Source organism: Homo sapiens, chromosome X (genome assembly GCF_000001405.40).
Source record: "Homo sapiens chromosome X, GRCh38.p14 Primary Assembly".
Taxonomy (NCBI): domain Eukaryota; kingdom Metazoa; phylum Chordata; class Mammalia; order Primates; family Hominidae; genus Homo; species Homo sapiens.
The window spans coordinates 118,580,280-118,603,732 of NC_000023.11; the positions used below are offsets into that span (position 1 = coordinate 118,580,280).

General features: G+C 39.7%; 1 protein-coding gene across 6 annotated transcripts in view; it reads left to right on the forward strand.

The window, feature by feature from the left end:
- Window positions 1–23,453, forward strand: part of DOCK11 (dedicator of cytokinesis 11) — a 190,333-nt gene that overhangs the window by 84,465 nt on the left and 82,415 nt on the right. For 5 of the 6 annotated variants that reach the window (XM_005262368.5, NM_144658.4, XM_011531276.4 and 2 more), the window contains exons 15-23: window positions 4,456–4,578; window positions 4,762–4,838; window positions 7,858–8,042; window positions 8,134–8,199; window positions 9,931–10,023; window positions 12,935–13,058; window positions 17,152–17,273; window positions 17,751–17,837; window positions 18,860–18,949. In XM_005262368.5, the coding sequence (XP_005262425.1) occupies window positions 4,456–4,578; window positions 4,762–4,838; window positions 7,858–8,042; window positions 8,134–8,199; window positions 9,931–10,023; window positions 12,935–13,058; window positions 17,152–17,273; window positions 17,751–17,837; window positions 18,860–18,949 (967 nt within the window). Of the gene's footprint in view, window positions 1–2,184; window positions 2,209–4,455; window positions 4,579–4,761; window positions 4,839–7,857; window positions 8,043–8,133; window positions 8,200–9,930; window positions 10,024–12,934; window positions 13,059–17,151; window positions 17,274–17,750; window positions 17,838–18,859; window positions 18,950–23,453 lie in introns of those variants that run through there. The other variant, XM_011531278.3, reaches the window with a different exon arrangement.

A 23,453-nucleotide genomic window follows, 5' to 3' on the forward strand; every position in this document is an offset into this window, starting at 1 on the left:
GTTGTATCTTGGGACACTTGGGATGTAATAATTATTATTTTTGTTGTTGTTTTTGAGACGGAGTTTCGCTCTTGTTGCCCAGGCTGGAGTGCAGTGGCGCGATCTCGGCTCACCACAACCTCCGCCTCTTGGGTTCAAGCGATTCTCCTGCCTCAGCCTCCCAAGTAGCTGGGATTACAGGCATGCGCCACCACACCTGGCTAATTTTTGTATTTTTAGTAGAGACGGGGTTTCACCATGTTAGTCAGGCTGGTCTCGGATTCCTGACCTCAGGCGATCCACCCGCCTCGGCCTCCCAAAGTGCTGGGATTACAGGCGTGAGCTACTGTGCCCGGCCAAGAATGCTTTCTCTTAAACTTTGCTGTGCATCAAAGACCCTCTCATTTTTTTTTTCATATGTCTTGCTTTAGGGAAGTTTTCTTTGGCTTTGGTTACTGCTCTGACTGACACCACTTAATTTTACTGCATTTAAAAGCAGAATTTATTTGGTAGTCATGGAATTTTTTCAGAAAAGCAGAAATTATAGTGAGTTATGTACAGTATACCCCCTATTTCAGAGTTGGTTGTGTTTATGCTTTGAAAATCTATCATAGAATATTTCTGGAAAACATACTGAAAATTCAGAGGCAACTAATGAAGTCATTAAATGTGAGTGTGTAATTAATGTATTTTCTTCCTGATGACAAATTCTGCCAGCATGTGATAACTATATTTCATATCTGATGGTAGGTTACATTATTTTATCCAAATTTTGTAAATCCATGCAGGGATGACTTAAAACAAGTTTCTTGTTTTTCTCCCTTTTTCAAGTACAGGTTCACTGGCTTGTTTGTGGTACAGCCTGTACAGCTCACTGGGGCTTCTGTGGAAAGGACACCATGTTCTGAATAATTCAATCAATTATGTTCAGTGGGTGCTAGGGAGTAGCATAAGGGTAGGAGATTCTAAGTTAATTAACTCTTTTATTTGTCACTATTTATAATCATTTCATTTTGGGCAAGGTCTCAAAATGTATTGTATGTTGGTGGATGAAAGATCACTATTGTCCTTGTTTTGCAGACTGGTAAAAAAAAATGATAGCTAGGGGTAGGTGAATGGCAAAGAGTAGCAGAGGTTGGTGTATGTAGGCATTATAGAAGGTGAAGTATGGCTTATAAATATCAGCATATTTTTAATGCTCCAGCCTGAAAAGTCCATTGCTGCTGCTGCTATTATTATTGTTAATAGTTATTGGCTGGGCACGGCTGGGTGCAGTGGCTCACGCCTGTAATCCCAGCACTTTGGGAGGCCGAGGCGGGTGGATCACGAGGTCAGGAGATCGAGACCATCCTGGCTAACGTGGTGAAACCCTGTCTCTACTAAAAATACAAAAAAATTAGCTGGGCATGGTGGCGTGCACCTGTAGTGCCAGCTACTCTGGAGGCTGAGGCAGGAGAATGGCGTGAACCTGGGAGGTGGAGCTTGCAGTGAGCAGAGATTGCGCCACGGCACTCCAGCCTGGGCGACAGAGCGAGACTCCGTCTCCTAAAAAAAAAAAAAAAAAAAAAAAAAAAAAAAAAAATTGGTTATTGGCCGGCCACAGTGGCTCACGCCTGTAATCCCAGCAGTTTGGGAGGCTGAGGCGGGTGGATCACAAGATCAGGAGTTCAAGACCAGCCTGGCCAACATGGTGAAACCCCGTCTCTGCTAAAAATATAAAAATTAGCCGGGCGTGATGGCAGGCGCCTGTAATCCCAGCTACTCGGGAGGCTGAGACAGGAGAATTGCTTGAACGTGGGAGGCGGAGGTTGCAGTGAGCCGAGATCACAGCACTGTACTTCAGCCTGGGCAACAGCAAGACTCTGTCTCGGGGAAAAAAAAAGTTATCAAGTGCTAACTCTGTTCAAGGCACTTATCTACGTGCTTCATGTCTATTGTCTTAAAAGGTGGGTACTGTTATCCCTGTCTTTGAAGATGAGGAAATTGAGGCCCAGAAGTGAAGCAGAAAGACAAAAATATAAATTATTTTCCAAGTTCACACAGCATGTGGCAGAACATGGATCAGAACCCAGGGCACCTGCCTTCAAAGCCATCTCTAGACCACTGTGGCATACGGTCCCTCTTTGGGCCATACCAGTAGCTGCTTGATGCCGTTTTACCAGTAGAAAAGTTAATTTTGAAGTCTTCAAAGTTAGAAGCTTTGATTTCCAGTTCTAATGAGGAATTAAGGTATTTTTTTCCTCCTGAATTGTTTTGGTTCTCAGCAGTAGTAAAAACTTACTCAAAAGGCTGGGCTGGATGTTTAAAAGATATATGATAAACCTCTGTTTACTAGAAATAAAGGAGGTATGCTTAGCGAAGGATATGAACAGACACTTCTCAAAAGAAGACATTTATGTGGCCAACAAAGATATGAATAAAAGCTCATCATCACTGGTCATTAGAGAAATGCAAATCAAAACCGCAACGAGATACCATCTCATGCTAGTTAGAATGGCGGTCATTAAAAAGTCAGGAAACAACAGACGCTAGAGAGGATGTGGAGAAATAGGAACGCTTTTACACTGTTGGTGGGAGTGTAAATTAGTTTGACCATTGTGGAAGACAATGTCACGATCCTCAAGGATCTAGAACCAGAAACAACATTTGACCCAGCAGTCCCATTACTGGGTATATACCCAAAGGATTATAAATCATTCTACTATAAAGACACATGCACATGTATGTTTATTGTGGCACTGTTCATAATAGCAAAGACTTGGGACCAACCCAAATGTCCAACAATGATGACTGGATAAAGAAAATGTGGCACATATACACCATGGAATACTATGCAGCCATAAAAAAGGATGAGTTCATGTCCTTTGCAGGGACATGGATGAAGCTAGGAACCTTCATTCTCAACAAACTAACACAAAAACAGAAAACCAAACACCGCATGTTCTCACTCATAGGTGGGAGTTGAACAATGAGAATACATGGACATGGGGAAGGGAACATCACACACCGGAGCCTTTCGGTGGGTTGGGGGGCTAGGGGAGGGATAACATTAGGAGAAATACCTAATGTAGATGATAGGTTGATGGGTACAGCAAACCACCATGGCACATGTATACCTGTGTAACAAACCTGCACATTCTGCACATGTATTCCAGAACTTAAAGTGTATATATACACTTTATATATACACACATATATATATATGAAGTAGGAACAATGGAGTTAATTAATGCCTATTACCACATCTTCAGAGGTATGCTGGGGGGAAATATGTTTCAGGCTATAGCTGCTTCCAGTGTGTTGGGTGCGTGTATATTGTTTTCCATTTTAGCAGCAGAATAGTTGCTTAAAAATGGGAGAAGAGGAGGGGAAGGGAATAATTCAAGTTCATATAGGAAACTATACATATATAGTCATCCCTCAGTATCCATGGGGCATTGGTTCCAGGATCTCCCACAGATACCAAGATCTGCAAATGCTGAAGTCTCTGATATAAAATTACGTAGTATTTGCATGTAACCTATTCACATCCTCCCATGTACTTTAAGTCATCTGTAGATTACTTATAATACCTAATGCAATGTAAATGCTATATAAATAGTTGTTATACTGTATTCTTTAGTGAATAATGACAAGAAAGTCTATTTGTGTTCAGTACAGACACAGTTCTTTTTTCCAAATATTTTTTATCCATGGTTTTTTGAATCCACGGATGCGGAGCCTGTGGATACAGAGAACCGACTCTACATTGTAATCTCCCCATATAAATTTATCCTTATGCTTTTTATGAACTTTATGGAAATATACTTCACCTTTGATAAAATGTACATATTTTAAATGTCTAGCTTCATGAATTTTCATGAATGTATACAGTCACGTAACCACCACCCCAACCAGATATGGAACATGTCTATTACCCCAGAAAGTTTCCTCATGTCCCTTGTCCATTCAGCCATCTTATCCCTGTCCCAGGCAACCACTGATCTGATTTTCATTGCAGATGACTTTTAATCTCTTTTGCACCTTCATATAAATGGAATCATGCAGTATGTCCTCTGATGTTTGCTTTCTTGTACTCAGTGTTCTTGAGATTCATCCATATTGTTGTGTGAATATGTAGTTCATTTTGAGCAGTATCCCATTGCGTGAATATACAGCAGTTTGCTTACCCATTCACTTTTTCTGGGTTATTACTAGTTTGGAGCTATAGCAAATAAATTGGCTGTGAACATTTATTTATATAAATTTTTGTTAAATTGCTGCTGCGCAAATTAAGAACATTCATGTACCATGTGGAAATATGCCTAGGAGTGGAATTGCAGGATTGTAGAGTGATGGGTGATTAACTTAATGAGAAACCGCCAAACTGTTTCCAAAGTGGTTTCACCATTTTACATCCCGACCATTGCTAATTTTATCTTAATTTATCAACATGGAATTTTTTTTTTTAAAAAAATGCTTCTGTTGCTGTTTTAGACCCATTTTCAAAGATACTCAAGGCTCTCTTGATCTGGATGGGAGATTTTCTCCTCTGTATAAACAAGACAGTAGCAAGCTTTCAAGTGAAGACATTCTCAAGTTGCTCTCAGAATATAAGAAGTAAGTGTTTGGTGTTTCTGCAATAAGTAAATATAATAGATGAATCCTCAGTTTTTTAAAATGATGAATGTGAGTCATATATGGGAAAAACAGAATGATTAAAATTGTAAGTTTGGATAGAGGGTAACCAGTGCATTCAGTAATCATAATTTTAACTCTAAAATATTATTATTTTATACCCAGGCCAGAAAAGACCAAACTGCAGATTATTCCTGGGCAGCTAAACATCACAGTAGAATGTGTTCCTGTGGATTTATCAAGTAAGAACATATTGCAAATAAACCTTAAGCATAATGTTTGAATGTCAGGTTGTTATCCTTTCAATATTTTTCTTGAGGTTTACGTGGCATATTAGTTTCCCAGGGTTGCCATAGCACAAAGTACTGTTACAAATTGGGTGGCTTAAGACAACAAACATTTATTCTCTCACAGTTCCAGAGGCTAGAAGTCCAAAATTAAGGTGTTTGCAGGGCCATGCTCTCTCTGAATGCTCTAGGGAAGAGCCATTCCTTGCCTCTTCCTGCCTTCCAGTAGCTCCCAGCTAACCTTGGCATCAGTTGGCTTGTGGCTGCATCACTCCAACTTCTCCTCTGTCATCACATGACCTTCTTATAAGGACACCAGTCATTGGATTTAAGGCCCATCTAATCTAGTATGACCTCATCTTAACTAATTGCATCTACAAATATCCCATTTCTAAATAAAGTCACATTCTGAGGTTCCGGGTGGACATGAATTTTGAGTGGGGGCGTGGATGCTTTTCAACCCAGTATGCACGATGAATAGTTACAGATTAGGAAGTGAATTGAGTTGATTTTATCAGATGCTGTTTCATATATACGAAGTTGTGAGTGTGTCCCAGTCAGGTTCTATTGCCTTTTGCCTTTGGTAACTTTTACTTCTGTCATCAACTAAGAGATGAAAAAGGAGAAGGATTTCTTTTCTTGTCTAAGGACAAGAATCCAAGATCCCAGGAGAAAAATAGAAGACACAAAACACAATTTGCAAGAGATAAAATGAAGTAGCTAGTAAATATGTGAAAAATATTCAATCTTAGTAATAATGCCAGTAAGGCAAATTAAACAATATGCTTTTGCTCATCCATCAAATCTATTAAAATGTTTAAAGTGAAGCTACCTAATGCTGGCTAGGTTTTGGCCAGGTGGTATCACCTATCATGAGTAGGAGTACAGTTTGGTAATAGATATCCATAGATGTTCATAAGTAGGGCATTCCAATTCTGAGAGTATATGCATTCATTCACTGAATAACTATCTATTGAGTAAACGTTTATTGACTACCAACGAGGTGCTTTAAACGTAGGGAGTTTAAAGTCTAGAAGGAGTGACAGATAGTATGCAAGCAAACGAGTTGTATTACTCCGTTTTTCACACGGCTATAAAGATACTACCCAAGACTGGGTAATTTATAAAGGAGAGAGGTTTAATTGACTCACAGTTCTGTATGGCTGGGGAGGCCTCAGGAAACTTAAAATCGTGGCAGAAGGGGAAGCAGGCACGTCTTTTGTGGTGGCAGGCGAGATAAATAGTGAATGAAAGAGGAACTTCCAAACACTTATAAAACCATCAGATCTCATGAGAACTCACTCACTATCACAAGAACAGCATGGGGGAAACCGCCCCATGATACATTCACCTCCCACCAGGTCTCTCCCTCAACACCTGGGGATTACAATTCATGGTGAGATTTGGGTGGAGACACAAAGCCTAACCATATCACAAGGGCAGCTGTAAAAAGGGTAGCCAGGGAACACCTGTCTTAAGCTCAGGAACTGAAGAGGGAGAAAGAGAGCCAGCATGTGGTGATTGGGACTGAACATTTTCAGACTGAGGGCATCACATACGTTGTAAAGACCATCACATATATATGTAAAGACCTTGAGGTGAGACCAAGCTGGGTTTGCATGAACAGAAGGGAATCCAGTATAGCTCTAGTGTAGTATGTGATGGGAACAGTGGAGATAGGAGATAAAATAGGAAGCATCAGGTCATGTAAGGAATTGTGTTGACTGTGGTAATGCCTTAAAAAATTGAATTTTATTCTAAATGCAGTGAGAAGTCAATAAAGAATAGTAAATGGAGGTGTGGCATCCACTTTATATTTTAAAACATCTAAGAGTACAATGGATTATTTTTTCCTAAAGAAGCAATTTGAAATCTAGGCAGAAATGGATCCATAAAGATGTTCTTTGCAGTGTTATTTATATTGGAGGAAAATTGGAAACAATCAGAATCCAACACTGTCAGTGTGGTTAAGATAATGATGCTACACTGATACCATGAAACTTTATTGCAGCCATTAACAGCAATGTTTACAAAGAGTTCATGGAATGAGACATCAGATAAATGTCGAAAAATCAGGATAAAGTTCTATATATAGTGTAGGATTTTCATATCACTATATACAATATGCATAGAAGACTAAAAGAAGATATGCCAAAGTCTCAACAGTAGTTATCTCTGGGTGGCGGAATGAGCAACTGTCCTTGTCTACCTTCACTGTCTACCTCCAGATGCTCTGTTATAGGCATGTATCACTGTAATAATCAGAAAAGCAAATCCAACAAAAAATACAGCATCCTCAGGTCCAACTCTCCCTGGGTCTTCCTTCATCATTACTGCTCTGCAGCAAGGACCAGCAGTCTTAGAGCCCCTTAAGTATATGAATAACCTTTACTACAGTGACGATTTCAATAACATATGCTGCTAAACTTCTCTGAGGCTTAGTATTTTTTCACGGTCGGGGTATTGAGTTTATCATTGGTAACACATCGTAAGATCAAAAGGCCTCCATTATTTCTTAGGTGAAAATTTGCACCTGTACCAAGTTAGCTTTTAAAAAGTGACTTGCCATGAACTAATTGGAAGCATAAATTTACCGTTATTTCCCTGATACCAATAAAAATTTGCAGTGAAAGCTAAATTGCTGCCACAGGAGGGAAAATGAAATGGATTTCTTTGCAGAGTTTAAATTTGTCAAAATTATGATGTGTTATATTTGGCAAATCACTCGACATTGAGAACGAAATAGCACTCCACGTCTGGTATGAAGGGTTCCACTAAAATCAGCATCAGACTACTCAGTCTTGTCTTTTTGGGTTCTTAAAGTTGTCATGTGATTTTTTTGGTCAATTACTAAGAATTATGTTTTTTAAATCGCTCTTTGAGAATGCAATTCATGTATATTTTTTATACATGCAGGAATGTGTTAATGATTATTAAACTGAATGATCTTTGCCTGTTTTTTTCCCTGCTATAGATTGTATTACTTCTTCATATGTGCCCTTGAAGCCTTTTGAAAAGAATTGCCAAAATATTACTGTGGAGGTTGAAGAGTTTGTTCCAGAAATGACAAAATATTGTTATCCATTTACTATTTACAAAAACCATCTGTATGTATATCCCCTGCAATTAAAATACGATAGCCAGAAAACATTTGCCAAGGTAACCATGTAAACTATACATTTTTGGAGTATAAAATGTTATTTATAATCTGCTAATTGTGTGACTCATTTTGACTGATTAATCATTTTAGGCAAGGAACATTGCAGTCTGTGTGGAATTCCGGGATTCAGATGAAAGTGACGCTAGTGCCCTAAAGGTTTGTTTATGATATTGATAGGCATATGTTTTTAGTAGAGATGGAGATTTTGGTACTCAGTAGTCTTATGCTCTAGGTTTAATTTGTATCAACATCAAAAAGAAAATGTTCTAAAGTGACAAATGTAATACTTTCTTTTCTACTCTTACATATTAACTATAAGGCTTAGTTTAAATATTAATGCAGTAGGAGCATATATAGCTTTAAAAATGCCAGGTTTTGGCTTTTGCTCCTTTTTGATTTTGCAATTGCTTCAATGCCCAATTGCAAGGTCGTTTTCTTATGACCTGATAGTTTATAATGGTACCATCAAGGGACTATAAACTCCTTTCTCCTTGAAACCTGAACAGGCTTTGAGCTGACAGAAGCACAGCATGACTGCTTTGATCTGAGATACGACTTCTACTCCGTGACTGGCCAAATGGTGCCTCCAGTCTTGGATTGTGGTCTATGAAAAGCAGAATCTCAGTCTTATCTGATACAGCAATCCTTAAATACCTGTCACACCACAGTGCCTTTATATTTTTACTCTTTATAACTGTAACCCATCAATCAGGGACCTGAAAGAGAAGTCAGAACATCTAGCCAGCAAGAAGTGTTTATTTGGCTCCCCATTTCTCTTGCATCAGCCTAAATCAGACAGATGGATGCTGGGTCTTACACTCAAACCACCTAGGGAAACAGGCTGGAATGCCCCTGACTAAGTAATTGAATAATAGCCCCTACCTTTGAAAAGAGATTTTTTTTTTTTATGTATACAGAGAAACTTAAATTAAGGATTTGCTGGCTCAAATTCTGTATGTTTTCTCTGGTTCTCTGTTCAGTGGAGATGAGAACAACTGCTCTATTTCCTCCATGCAATATCCTTTTGTAGACCCAATGACTCTTAGGTTACTTCTCAGCAGTTCTTGCAAATTGCCTTCATAACCATATTTAAGAAGAGTTGGATATTCACTTATATGGAGTTTCAATTTCATTTCTTAGCTGGCCTGGATTGCTCACTCTAAAGTAACAGAATGAGGCAATTAGTACGTTGGCATGCTGACTCCATATTCATCCTTGAGCCTATTAGGCCTATAGAAGTGAAAAAATCCCACTAGAAATGAAATTGGATCTTTCCTTGGAACCATAGAAAGCCTTACATTTATTTTATTGGTATAACAGAAAGCCACTGATATTTTAAAATGTGGCTCATAAAGTGCCACATTTAAAAATGTGAGAGAACAGCAAGCTTGTCTGTAGCTTAATACACATTCAACTTTTTAATTCCTTTAGGCCAGGAATGTGTCTGCTGGAGCTTTTTAAACACGCTTCACCTTGCCCACTGCACAAAGAGCGTTCAACAAATGTTGCCGACTGGTTGAGGGGGAGCCTCTCATATTAAGAAATGCAAGTAGCATAAGAGAAGTAAGCTTTACAGGCCTGGTTTGAGACAAGTATTTCCCTTCCAAATGAGTAGGCCTGTTCAGCTCCTTACTGTCAACTAGTTTGAGATCGTGTTTCTTTGATGGCTGGAAATTCAGAAGCATCCATACAGCCAAGTTACATGGTGTCTCATTTGGTGTCTGGAGTGACTGTGTAAATGATTGGGAATTTACAGGCTCACGGTGACTGCCAGGTGGGCTTGGCCATGGCCCTATAGTCACAGATGCCTCTAACTATATGTGGTTCCATGGCATCACATTTACAGACCTGCATTTAGAGCGGTGACTCTGTTTCTTTCTTTTGCAGTGTATTTATGGAAAACCTGCAGGGTCTGTTTTTACCACAAATGCTTATGCTGTTGTCTCGCATCACAACCAAAATCCAGAGTTCTATGATGAGGTAAAAATATATTATCCTGACATTTCTAAAACACAGTGGTTGGAATTCTTTTTCTCTTTGAATCATTTTCATCATTTTACCAGCACTTTCAATCCCTGAGTGTTTTGTTCCATGAAAACAGAAAATATTACAACAAAACAGAGTGTTACTGGCCTGCTTGGTGCCTTTTGATGGTAGTAGAAGATTTACCCCCCAATTTAAGGGGCTCTTCGACTTGAGGTAACAATGCAGGAAACAAACATGAGAGTAGAGCTAGGGTTCTAGCCCTCCTAGCTTTGACAGTGCTGGCTCTGTAACATCAAGTCACTTCCCCCTCCAGAGTCTCCATTTCCTCAGCTTTAAAATGAGAAATTCAGAAGAGATTTTCAGAATGCCTTTCTAGCTCTTTCCCCTTATGGTTTTACACAGTAGGGTGCAGCCTCTCTGTAACTGAAATACTAGGAAAGACAGGGATACAGCTGGGCCACCAGAATCCCACTGGCTGGCCTGCATGCTTGGGTGCAAAGCACATAAAGGGGTATGGTTGGGTCTCTGAGCCTCTGTGGTTCCTCCTGACTCAGCCTCTCAAATTGTGTCTCTGCCTTTGAAACCCTGTCTCTGCCCCTCTTTCCTTCTTCCTACTTCTCCACCTCTACATCTCTGTGTGCTTCCCAGCATGTCTCTTAGCATCTCTGTCACAGCCACTTCTGGTCTGTATGTATCCAGCATATCCAAATCTGTAGTCTCCTTTTGATTCCTATATGTCTCTATGGAACCTGGATGGGCATCCCAGCCCAGACGTTCTGCTGTCCCTGCTTCTCAGTCCACATGTCTCCATTCTTGGCTTGGTCTGAAACCATCCCCCCGGCTGTGGTGATTTTGCCATGTCCACCTGCTGTTGTATGGAAGCCTTATATCCCAGCCTTAGGCCTTGCTCATTTCCTTCTCAATCCAATGTCCCTAGTTTCATGGGGGATGGGGAGGGGAATAGTATTTTTGCCACCCAGGGAGGGAGTATGCCCATATTTATGTGCAGCAGAGCATTACATACCCAGATGGTCTGGATGCTGTGAATAGGCATGTTCTGTAGTGAAATAGACCTAAAACGGACATTAGTTATAACATCAAAACCATGCTTTGTATGAATGATAATTGGACCAGATGTCCATCACCAAGTTGTTTAATATGTGTATCTCTGTAACCAACATCAGTCACTACAAAAAACTTGATCATGTAGTAAGTAACCCACATTATTTTTAGGATACCTAAAATGAACATGCTTTTCTTTTTTTTTTTATAGCTCTGATTTTTTAATATTCCCCTTTTTTCCTCCCTAATCATTCTTTTCTTTTTTATTATTATTATTACACTTTAAGTTTTAGGATACATGTGCACAACATGCAGGTTTGTTACATATGTATACATGTGCCATGTTGGTGTGCTGCACCCATTAACTCGTCATTTAGCATTAGGTATATCTCCTAATGCTGTCCCTCCCCCCTCCCCCCACCCCACAACAGTCCCCAGAGTGTGATGTTCCCCTTCCTGTGTCCATGTGTTCTCATTGTTCAATTGCCACCTATGAGTGAGAACATGCGGTGTTTGGTTTTTTGTCCTTGCAATAGTTTGCTGAGAATGATGGTTTCCAGCTTCATCCATGTCCCTGCAAAGGACATGAGCTCATCATTTTTTATGGATGCATAGTATTCCATGGTGTATATGTGCCACATTTTCTTAATCCAGTCTATCATTGTTGGACATTTGGGTTGGTTCCAAGTCTTTGCTATTGTGAATAGTGCCGCAATAAACATACATGTGCATGTGTCTTTATAGCAGCATGTTTTATAGTCCTTTGGGTATATACCCAGTAATGGGATGGCTGGGTCAAATGGCATTTCTAGCTCTAGATCCCTGAGGAATCACCTCACCGACTTCCACAATGGTTGAACTAGTTTACAGTCCCACCAACAGTGTAAAAGTGTTCCTATTTCTCCACATCCTCTCCAGCACCTGTTGTTTCCTGACTTTTTAATGATTGCCACTCTAACTGGTGTGAGTTGGTATCTCATTGTGGTTTTGATTTGCATTTCTCTGATGGCCAGTGATGATGAGCATTTTTTCATGTGTTTTTTGGCTGCATAAATGTCTTCTTTTGAGAAGTGTCAATGAACATGCTTTCAATCATTCACTGTATATTGACTGAGAGAGACAGAGAGAATATTTGCACGTGTACCTTTGTGGGTACATGCATGTGCATCAAATCATTTAAATCTGTAATTTGTCTCTTACATACTTCCAGGAGGCATTACAAACATTCGGTTGGGATCTGATTAGAAAATTACTTGTGATACTTTATTACAACCATTAATTTTTAACTAAGTTTGTATGTCATGGCTGATAATTTTCATCTTTAAGAGCAAAGTTGTGTTTTTCTTCTAGAGAAATTTCTATAAACTATAATTTGTGGATACTATAAGACCATCGTTACTTTTTGCATATTTATTTGTAATGGCTTAATTTTTTCATGCAAAAGAGAGCAACAACTTAGAAAAAAAGTTGTTTTTCAGATTCAGTGTACATTTTAAATGGGTTGCATTCATTGATGCAGATTGAGTTGCATAGTATCCCTGGGCTGTGATGATGTAGTTTTGACTTAGTGTTTTAGAAAATTCTGCTGCAAAATTGAATCCAGGAGAATCCATTGTACTCTCCAGCAAAAGTAATAAATCAACTCTCACAACTCAGAATATTGCTGTCAAATTGAAACTGACCAGAAAAGCATTTGGAATATATTTAAATGATACCTACTATTTGGCCACTTGGCCAGTCCTTTAGGAAGTATTTTTGGAGCAGTATGATGAAACTGAACTAATGTCTGACAGTTTCAGCTTGAGAAAACGAAGTTCCATGTGTAATTTTGCTTTCATTTCAGATTAAAATTGAGCTTCCCATTCACCTACATCAAAAACATCATTTGCTTTTCACTTTTTATCATGTAAGTTGTGAAATTAACACAAAGGGAACAACCAAAAAGCAAGACACAGTTGAAACTCCAGGTACGTGTTCTCTTTAAATGTCTCTCTCTACAGTTATTTGAAATGGAACTGTCCAGGGTATAACCTCTTTTCACCAAGCTATAGACCACTTCTCCCCTTGACCAAAAACCACTGTATTAGTTCATTTTCATGCTGCTGATAAAGACGTACCAGAGACTGGGAAGAAAAAGAAGTTTAATTGAACCTTACACTTCCACATGGCTGAGGAGGCCTCAGAATCATAGCAAGAGGTGAAAGGCACTTCTTGGCAGCAGCAAGAGAAAAATGAGGAAGAAGCAAAAGCAGAAACCCCTGATAAACCCACCAGATCTCGTGAGACTTATTCATTATCACAAGAATAGCACAGGAAAGAGCGGCCCCCATGATTCAATTACCTCCCCCTGGGTCCCTCCTACAACACCTGGGAATTCTGGGAGATACAATTCACATTGAGATTTGGGTTGGGACACAGCCAAACCATATCAAGCACATTTCTGATTTTAAAAGTTCATTGGTAAAATGCATATTATATGTTCATTTTAGTATTTCTACCAAATATCATTGTCCATATGCTTGCCAATGTGCTTAGACTACTATAAGCAACATAAAGTAATATTGCTATTCTCAAAAAGAAACACATATTGCGATACAGTATTTTTGTTATTTCTTTTATGTAGAATTGCCCAGCAACCAGAATTTTCCAGTTCTGCTCACTGAGGAAGAGGGAAGTGAGCCCAGAGCCAGGGACATCTGTGAGCCAGAGGGAGGTTGGGGGCTGACTAGTTCTAATGAGAAGATAACTGATTTAACAAACTTGAATAAGCTTCAGCAGTGAAGCTCTCGTCATGGGCCCATTCAGCAAGGCTTTACGTAAACCAATGGGTAGCACCCTTAGCAGAAATAGAAGGCCTTGTGAACACAGCTTGTATCACAAGCACTTTACGAACATCAGCATGTCCTAAGATTCAGATCCCAGCTAGTCTGTATTATTCACTCATTCATTCATTCAGCAAATATTTCTGCATACAGGTTGAGCATCCCAAATCCCCAAGTCCAAAATGCTCCAAAATTGGAAACTTTTTGAGCACTGACAAGATCTTCAAGGGAAATGCTTATTGGAACATTTCATATTTTGGATTTTTGGATTTGAGATATCAACTGGTATTATGCAAATATTCTGAAAAAATCTGAAAAAATCAGAAATTTGAAACACTTCTGTTCCTAAAAATTTCAGATAAGGGATACTCAAACTGTATTATGTACAAGATATTGTAGTAGGCACTTTGGAGAATACAGTGGAGAATCAAACACAGATCTCATCTTCAGTGAGGATATGATCTAGTAAGGGAAATGAGTCCTGCGTAAACAATTATAATACAAGATAGAAAGTGGTGTTTAAGAAAGTAGTGCTACGTGAACTCAGAAGAGCGAGTTATTCAGCTGGTGGAGAGACGAGTGGCTGAGAATCAGAGAAGGCTTCTAGGAGATGGTGTTTGAGTGAGGCCTTAAAGGGTTGGGTGGGGTTTGATAATGCAACAATGGCAGGAATGTAGGGGATTATGGGGTGAAGGAACAGCTTGTACAGAGGCAGAGTATCAAGAGGCATGGACAGGAAACCACAAGTAGTTCACTAAGCCTGGAGCACAGGGTGCTAGGAGGGGGATCATAGGATGTCAGGTTGAACAGGAGGCATCAGATTTTGGAAAGCCTTGAATACCAGGCTATAGATTTTATTTTATTCTATCACCACAGTAGAACTATTGGAGGGTTTTAAACATTAGAGCAGTTTTTCAGGAAAACCAACCAGGCAGCAGTATAATGGGCAAGGCAAGTAGAAGCAGGAAGAGGAAGAAAGGAACACCAGTTAGAGGGTTATTTCAAAAGTCCAGGAAAGGAAGAGGCCACACTATGGCAGTAGCAGCGGGGGCAGAGAGAAAGGGAAGTGCAGAAGAAGAACATATTGGACCTGGAAAGTGATTGGCTATTAGAGAGATGATTTAGTTAGCAATGAAGTTTCAAAACTGGGTGATTGGAAAGAAGGTATTGCCAATAGCAAAACTGTGGGTAGGGATGGCAGGTTTGGGACATCAGTTGAGTTTTAGGTGCTAGTGAGACATTGGAGTGATACCCAGCAGGCAGCAGGACTGAATATGAGGGAGTTCCCTTTGCAGGTAGTATGGATATGTTCTTTATCCCCATAGAAATTGCCGTTAGTTCAGGGTAGGGGCTTTGAGGATTGAGAAGAAAACTGGCAGAACGATGAGAACCCATGACCATGTGTACATCCTGAAAGCTAAATTACTGATTCATTATCCAAATCCTAGACAGAAGTGGACAAGATGCTCAGCGGAGCATGAAACAGTTATTCCGTGTGCCACTCATCACTTTGAACTGTGCATTCTTTAAGTGGCTTCCCACCTTTGAGCCAGATGGTGTGCTTGACATTGTACCTTTATAGCTTCCAAGTGCTCTCTATGAGTTTTGAATAGGGGAAACGCTTGGTCGTGCTCTGATTCATTTACAGTACAAAAATGTTGCCTAAGCAATCCCACAGAGACAGAAAGTAGACTATCGGTTGCCAGGGGCTGGGAGGAGAGGGAAATGGGGAGTGACTTCTAAGGGCTATGGGATTTATTTTGGGGGTGATGAAAAGTTCTGGAATTAAGTGGTGGTCATGGAGATACAACTTTGCAAATATACTAAAGACCACTATATGTACACTTTAAATAGATGAATTGTGTGGTATATCTGAATGAGGTCTCAATAAAAATTTCTATTTAAAAATGTTGCTTAAGAACAAGAAATAGATTTTCCTTTCATTTTCCTATTTTCTGGGCTGGAAATCTTTTCTCATTTGTCAAATTTTTAGTTTAACTACTTTGACAGAGTCATTTCTAATGGTTCTTCTGCTCATGTTACTTTCCTCTGCTTTTTATAAAAGAAAAGGTCTGGGTAAAGCATTTCTGTAGTTGAACTAGTAAAGATGCCCGTCAGGCACATTTCGGAGTCTGAGAAAGCCATTTAGTCTACTTAGAGAAGCAATGTTTTAGTCTCCTTTTAAGAATTAAAGCATTTGCCAAATTAAACACATAAATGAAAACATTCTAACCAGATTTGTGTTGACTTCTGTGTTCACAGTATCACACACACACTCACACACAGAGTCACAAATAATTTTAAAGAATCAGAAAGCAGTAGCTTTAAAAAATGTTCTCCAGCCAATACCCTCTCTCATATGCCAAAACTCAGTCCAGAGCAAGCTTTTTTACAGCTGAGTTATAAACACTTGAATCCCAGAGTAATTTCTATAATGGAAATACTGACACCACTCAACTTGAGTAACACAGATGGCTCTGGCTTTTTTAGCTAGAACATGATGAGTTTTCTAATTGAAAGCCAAAAGGCTCTTTTGGGGAGAACTGTTAAGAAATGTAGAGATTGGGGAAAATCTCTTGATGGATTCAAGTCATAAACACTATTTCCTGCCTGCATTCTCCTACCTACACCTACACCTCTTCCTTCTGTAATCAGGACAAGTCTGCCTAACTAAATGATTTATGCCTACTGCCTTGTATAAATATGGAGTGTAGCCGTGACTTTGTGACCTTAATTTTCCATAGTTCCTTACCCTAGGGTTGCCATAAGAAATTTTGGAACATGTGATTGTTATCTGAAATAGTCTCAGCCGTGAGACTCTGCACTCTTAGTGTAAGAATGGATGAGAACTATCTGAGCCTTTTGAAAATAAATCCACCAAAAATATTTCCCAAAGCATAAAGATAATGGTATCGATGCGCTTTTAAAGGTTTAAAATGTTTTCATATAATCTCACTCTAGGTTTCTCAATAATTCTTGTAGATGGAAAGGCCATGTTGCTGTTCCCATTTTTATGGTCAAAGAAATAGAGTACATAACTTGTTAGTGGCCAGGCTGGGATTCAGAGTCGATCCAAACCCATTGTTCCTTCCCCAGTACTCAGTTGCCCAGCACCTGAACTCCCACATACAGATCCCTGGAGACATCACCACCCTGCCCTGCCCCCTAGCAGTCAGCCATTTGTGTAGCTGATTGCATTTGATATTTCATTTCTCACAGTTTGTTATTATCTTGGCAGTTGGGTTTGCCTGGGTACCTTTGCTGAAAGATGGTAGAATCATCACATTTGAGCAGCAGCTGCCAGTTTCCGCCAATCTTCCCCCAGGCTACTTGAATCTGAATGATGCAGAATCAAGAAGGGTAGGAAAATACTGCATTTGTTGAAGTAATCATGATTAAATGTGCAAAAAATAGAATTCTGTTGGTCTCGATTGTTTAGTACAATGTTACTCAAAGTGGGGTCTGAGGGCTGGTGCGGGTCCACAACAAAGATAAACATGGAATGTGCATGTTTAGAATTTATAGCAGTTTGACAAAGTAATTTTATGTCTGTTGATTTTAATAATTTTTTTAGTGGGGCTCAGATTTTGTGCATAATTTTAAAAAATTATTTAAGTAATTCATTTTATCATAATTTATAAAAATAGTCTGCAAAGGATTGGAAATGTAAAATGATTTATGATACATTTATTCTAAAGGCAGGGTATTTTCTCCAGTAATCTCTTGGTATGAAATTAATACATTCATTTCTGAAAAAAATGTTTAAATGCATAAAGGTATTATATGTTATTCATCTATCCATTATTATGTTATAGAATCTCAATTTTCTGTTCACAGCAATGTAACGTGGATATTAAATGGGTAGATGGTGCAAAGCCTTTGTTGAAGATTAAAAGCCACTTAGAATCTACCATTTACACTCAAGTAAGTTGCATCATTTGAATTTTGTCAATTTTTATACTTGAGTTTGTTTGATTAAAATAGACCACATTTGATTCCTACAGCCTTAGAGAATATGTGACCTGCAAGATTTTCTCATTAGTAATAACATCTGTCCAGGTGCAGTGGCTCATGCCTGTAATCTCAGTACTTTGGGAGGCTAAGGCAGGAGGATTGCTTGAGCTCAGGAGTTCAAAGCTGCAGTGAACTATGATTGCGCCACTGCACTCTTGCCTGGAAGACAGAGTAAGACCCTGTCTCTTAAAAAAAAAAAAAAACAGTCATTCTATCTCAAATATTATAATTCCTCTCAAATTACATGATCTTTTAATTCTCATTAACTGATTTGAGCCTCACAGAACTCTGAAAGGAATGTGGAAGCCATCATCTCCATTTTATAGGTGAGGAAACTGAGGCTCAGGCAGGTTAGGTGACTTACCCAAGGTCACAGAGTAGTAATCAGGGGAATCAGGTCAAAACACACATTTCATTATTCTGGTTCCTGATGTAGTCCATGCTGTCTACAGAATCAGTGTATATGGGTTCCACATAGGACAGTTGGACTCCCTTGCCAGTGAAGTGCCATGGTAAATTTGGGTACTGAATGCCTGAGACTATTGTTCTGCTAACTTCCTGCTGCTATCTTTTCTTTATCAGTTCACATCTTTATTATTTATTTATCTGTATCTTTTTCAGTTCATACCTTTATTCCTGCTTATTTCATTAAAATGGAGAAGCAGCCCAACTTCATAGAACACACTAGTCAAAGTCGGAATCAAATGAATCTTTAGCTAGTTGGGCATAAATGGTGGCCTACCCCATGTGCTTGTGTACATGGCAGATTTACCTGGTTTTGCTGCTTTGTATAGTGGTCAAGAGCTGCTGAGCCTGGGCATTAGAATACCGGATAAATAGGTCTGCAAGATACAGGAGGAGGGAGAGGTAGAGAGCTTGCATTTGAGGATAATGAATCAAATTTCATATGGCTGTTTCCATCTGTGTTCCAGGATCTGCATGTGCACAAATTCTTCCATCATTGCCAGCTGATTCAGTCAGGCTCGAAAGAAGTTCCAGGGGAGCTCATTAAATATTTAAAGGTAAATGAACAGCAGCTTTCTGCAAAACGTTTGTTTTTCATGTCTTTCTGTTGCCACATTTTGGTGTGAAAAAAAAAAGCAAACAGACAGTTTAAAATATTTTTGGCTGTATTTCCTCAAGAGAATACTTTCTATGATGTATTTTTCCATCATGTGGCTGTTTAGAAGCAGACAGCAGAGTGGCAACATTAGGAAGAAAATGTAATAGCCACAATGCAGCATCATATTTTTGAAACTCTCATGAAAATGTTTATTTCAGGTCCATAAATTGATTTTTCAGGGGCTTTCTCTTCCTGCTGACTGCCCAATAAAGGTGGAGGATGCTGTGGGGGAAAGGGCCAGGAGGAATGGAATCACTTTGACTTGGAATGAAATGTGAAATTGTTCTTGTGTCCATGGGTGATAGACTAACAAAGGGGCTAGCTAATGAAAGACACATATTTTATGCATGTTGGCATATTGTATCTTACCACATGTATAGAGGACCTAACACTTGGTTTTTTCCCTGTGTGCTAGGACTACAGTGCATATCATAATTTGCCTGACAGTGGCTCTCTTCTTTTAATTGTTCCTTTAGTAAGATAGCTATAGCAAGTCTGAGGAAATATTATTTTAAATGAAACATCTTTAGGATTTACCTTTGGACATATGCTATTACTTAATGATATACTCAGGAAACAAAAATGTTCATTTCTTTCAGAGAGGTAGTATGAGATGAGATCAAATATATGGGTTCTGGAATCATAAACTGAGCTTGTATCCCACATGTCACTTACTAGCTCTGTAACTGACCATGACCAAGTTACTTCTCTGAGCCTTTGTTTCTTCATCTGTCATGTGAGGATAACAATAGTGCCCATCTTGTAGGGTGGTTGTGAGACTTAAATGAGATGATGGAGCTGGGCATGGTGCTTCACGCCTATAATCCCAGCACTTTGGGAGGCCGAGGCAGGAGATTGCTTGAGCTCAGGAGTTCAAGACCGGCCTGACCATCATGGCGAAACCCCGTCTCTACTAAGAATACAAAAATCAGCCAGACGTGGTGGCATACGCCTGTAATCCCAGCTACTCAGGAGGCTGAGGCAGGAGAATCGCTTGAACCTGGGAGGCGGAGGTTGCAGTGAGCTGAGATTGTGCCAGCCTGGGTGACAGCGAGATTCTGGTTTGTTTTCTTTTTTTTTAAAAAAAAAAAAAAAGAAAAAAGAAAAAGATTAGGGCATCTGCCGGATAGTAATCGTTCATGCCACACTTATTTCTTTAGTGCTTCCTATGGGCCAGGCATCATTCTAAGCATTGGAAATTTAAGTGGAGAAAACAAATAATATCCCTATTGTCAAAGAGCTTACTTGTTGAGACAGACAATAAACACATAAGTTAATAAATATATACGTCATCTCATATGGTAATAACTGTTATAAAGAAAACCAGCACAATGAAGGGGAGCAGGGATTTACAAGGGGTCCCTGTTTTAAAGTGGCCAGAGAAAATCTCTCTAGTAAAGGCACATTTGAGCAGAGACCTAAAGGAAATGAGAGTGCCAGCCATGTGGATTTCTCGGGGAGAGCTGGGAACAGCAAGTACAAAGGCCCCGAGGAGCTTGGCTTGGTGTGTTTGGGGAACAGCAAGAATCCCAGTGTGGCTGGGACACAGAGTGATAGGACATTACCTTGGGGAGGTTGCTGGGAGCTTGTCGAGTAAGGCTTCATAAGCCATGGCGAGGAGTTTGAATTTACTCCGAGTGAGATAGGAATATGGAGCTTTGGACAGAAGTGTGACATGATGTGACTTTGGTTTTTAAAGTGTCATTCTGCTTACCATATAGAAAACACACTGTTGGAAGAGTAGAAGGGAGACAGTCAATAAGTGGTGGCTATATGGCTATATGTTCTTAACTATCATTAAGACGTATAATAGGCCAGGTGCAATGGCTCATGCCTGTAATCCCAGCACCTTGGGAGGCCCAGGCAGGCAGATTGCTTGAGCCCAGGAGTTCGAGACCAGCCTGATCAACATGGTGAAACCCATCTCTATAAAAAAATACAAAAATTAGCCGGGCATAGTGGCACACACCTGTAATCTCAGCTACTTAGGAGGCTGAGGTGGGAGGATCGTTTGAGCCTGGGAGGTTGAGTCTCCAGTAAACTGTGATCATGCCACTGTACTCCAGCCTGGGCCACAGCGAGACCCTGTCTCAAAAAAAAAAAAAAAAGAAAAAAGTATGATAATCATCTAACTTTTAAATCCTTTCCTCAGGTAAATATCTAGGACTTCAATATGTATGAATGCTTTGTTAAGGTTTGTTCTTCACATGGGAAAGTTTTATAAAAGTTTCAATCAAGTGGAATGGAAAAGAACATCATTTTCATATATACGGGTATTCTTAAAATAGAAAAGTTCTCGTATTTGTTTTTCTGAAGATGTGGAATTTCTGGTATTTATGTGACCTACGCTCTCCCTCTAGTGGTAGTCAATGAAATACCATGTGATTTCAGAAATAGCCAAGCTCCTCTATATAACCTTAGTGCTGAAAAGGATTCTTAAGACTTTTTTTCTTTCTTTCTTTTTTTGAGACAGGGTCTCACTCTGTCGCCCAGGCTGGAGTGCAGTGGCGTAATCTCAGCTCACTGCAACCTCCGCCTCCTGGGTTAAAGTAATTCTCCTGCCTCAGCCTCCCGAGTAGCTGGGACTACAGGCGCCCGCCACCATGCCCAGCTAATTTTTTTTTTTTTTTTGTATTTTTTAGTAGAGATGGGGTTTTGCCATGTTGGCCAGGCTGGTCTTGAACTCCTCACCTCAGGTGATCCGCCCACCTGGGCCTCCTAAAGTGCTGGCATTACAGGTGTGAGCCACCATGCCCGGCCAAGACTTTTTTTTTTTTTTTTTTTTTTAACAGATGAGGAAGCTGGGGCCCAAGTAGAGGTGACTTGCCTGTAGACATTCAACTGGTTAGTAGCAGAACTGGGGTGAGACTATGACAAGTCCCATGTTCTTTCTACCACACCTTGCTATCTCTTGTTCCTATAAATGACATTGTTTCAAGAATTCATTTACCATCCACTTGTTGAGCTCTTGTTATATATTTAGTATTTTCCTAGCTCTTTGAGGCTTACAGAGAAGAATAATTTAGGGTTATTGTCCATAGGGGAACTTACAGTCTAACTGAAGAGACAGGACATACATAAGTTAAATGACAGTCTGTCAATAATACAATTAATAGTTCAAAGCAATATATGATTAAATGTCCAGTATGTGATACAGGGCACAAGTGCTGAGGGTTCGGTGAACTGAGGAACTACTGTAGACTAGAGGGCTCCTGTCTTTTTTTTTTTGGAGACAGAGTCTCACTCTGTTGCCCAGGCTGGAGTGCAATGGTATGAACTCAGCTCACTGCAACCTCTGCCTCCCGGGTTCAAGCTATTCTCCTGCCTCAGCCTCCCAAGTAGCTGGGATTACAGGCATGCACCAATATGCCTGGCTAATTTTTGTATTTTTAGTAGAGACAGGGTTTCACCATGTTGGCCAGGCTGGTCTCGAACTCCTGAGTTCAAGTAATCCGCCTACCTCAGCCTCCCAAAGTGCTGGGATTACAGGTGTGAGCTGCCGCGCCCGGCCTACTTTCTTATTTTATTCATTTATTCAGTAAGTCACCAAATATTTATTGACCATGTAGTATGGGCCAGACATTGTTCTGGATGCTATGAATCAAATGGGGAACAGTTTAGACAGCATACCTTTTCTAGTTGTGGTAGAGAGATTATAAGTGAGTGCCATGAAGAAAAGAGCAGGTTAATGAGATCCAACATGACCAGGAGTGTATTCTACATAGAGTTGTCAGGGAAGGCCTATTGGGGGAAATAGCATTTCAAGCTGAAAGGATGAGAGGAAGACAACCTTAGGGGGTAAAGTCGTGTAAAAGGATAACAGAATATCACAGTAGGTGTAAACACCTTACATCAGCATGTTTGAAGGACAGAAAAATAAAAGACCGTGTAGCTATAGTACAGTGTGCATTGTGAGGGGAGGATGGCAAGTGACAGGTTTGGCGGGACAGGCCGGGTATGTCGTAGGCATGGAAGCTTATGATAGCTCTTTGTTCGTGGTAGTTTGTTTTGTTTTGTTTTGTTTTTTAACAACAGAAAGATGGCAATGTCTAATTTGCATTTCAGAAAGAACACTCTGGCTGTCATGTTGAGAATAAATTACAGAGGACTGCTACTGGTAGCAGGGAATGCCCATCTCTCTTTTCTACCTGGCACTATTCTATTTATCATTTACCCTTTCTCATCTCTGAGGCCTTACCAGACATTCCCTACCCACTTGCACACTCAGTTGCTTCTTTGTGCATTTTGTATATTCCATGATCATGCTATTTACTGTTGATATTGCAATTATTTAGTTCCATGTGTTTATCCCCTGTACACTGTGAACTACTTGATGGTAGAAACCATGGCCTTTATTTGTTTGGGTTTACTTTTGTTTTTGGTGTGCTTGGCTATTGGAAGTT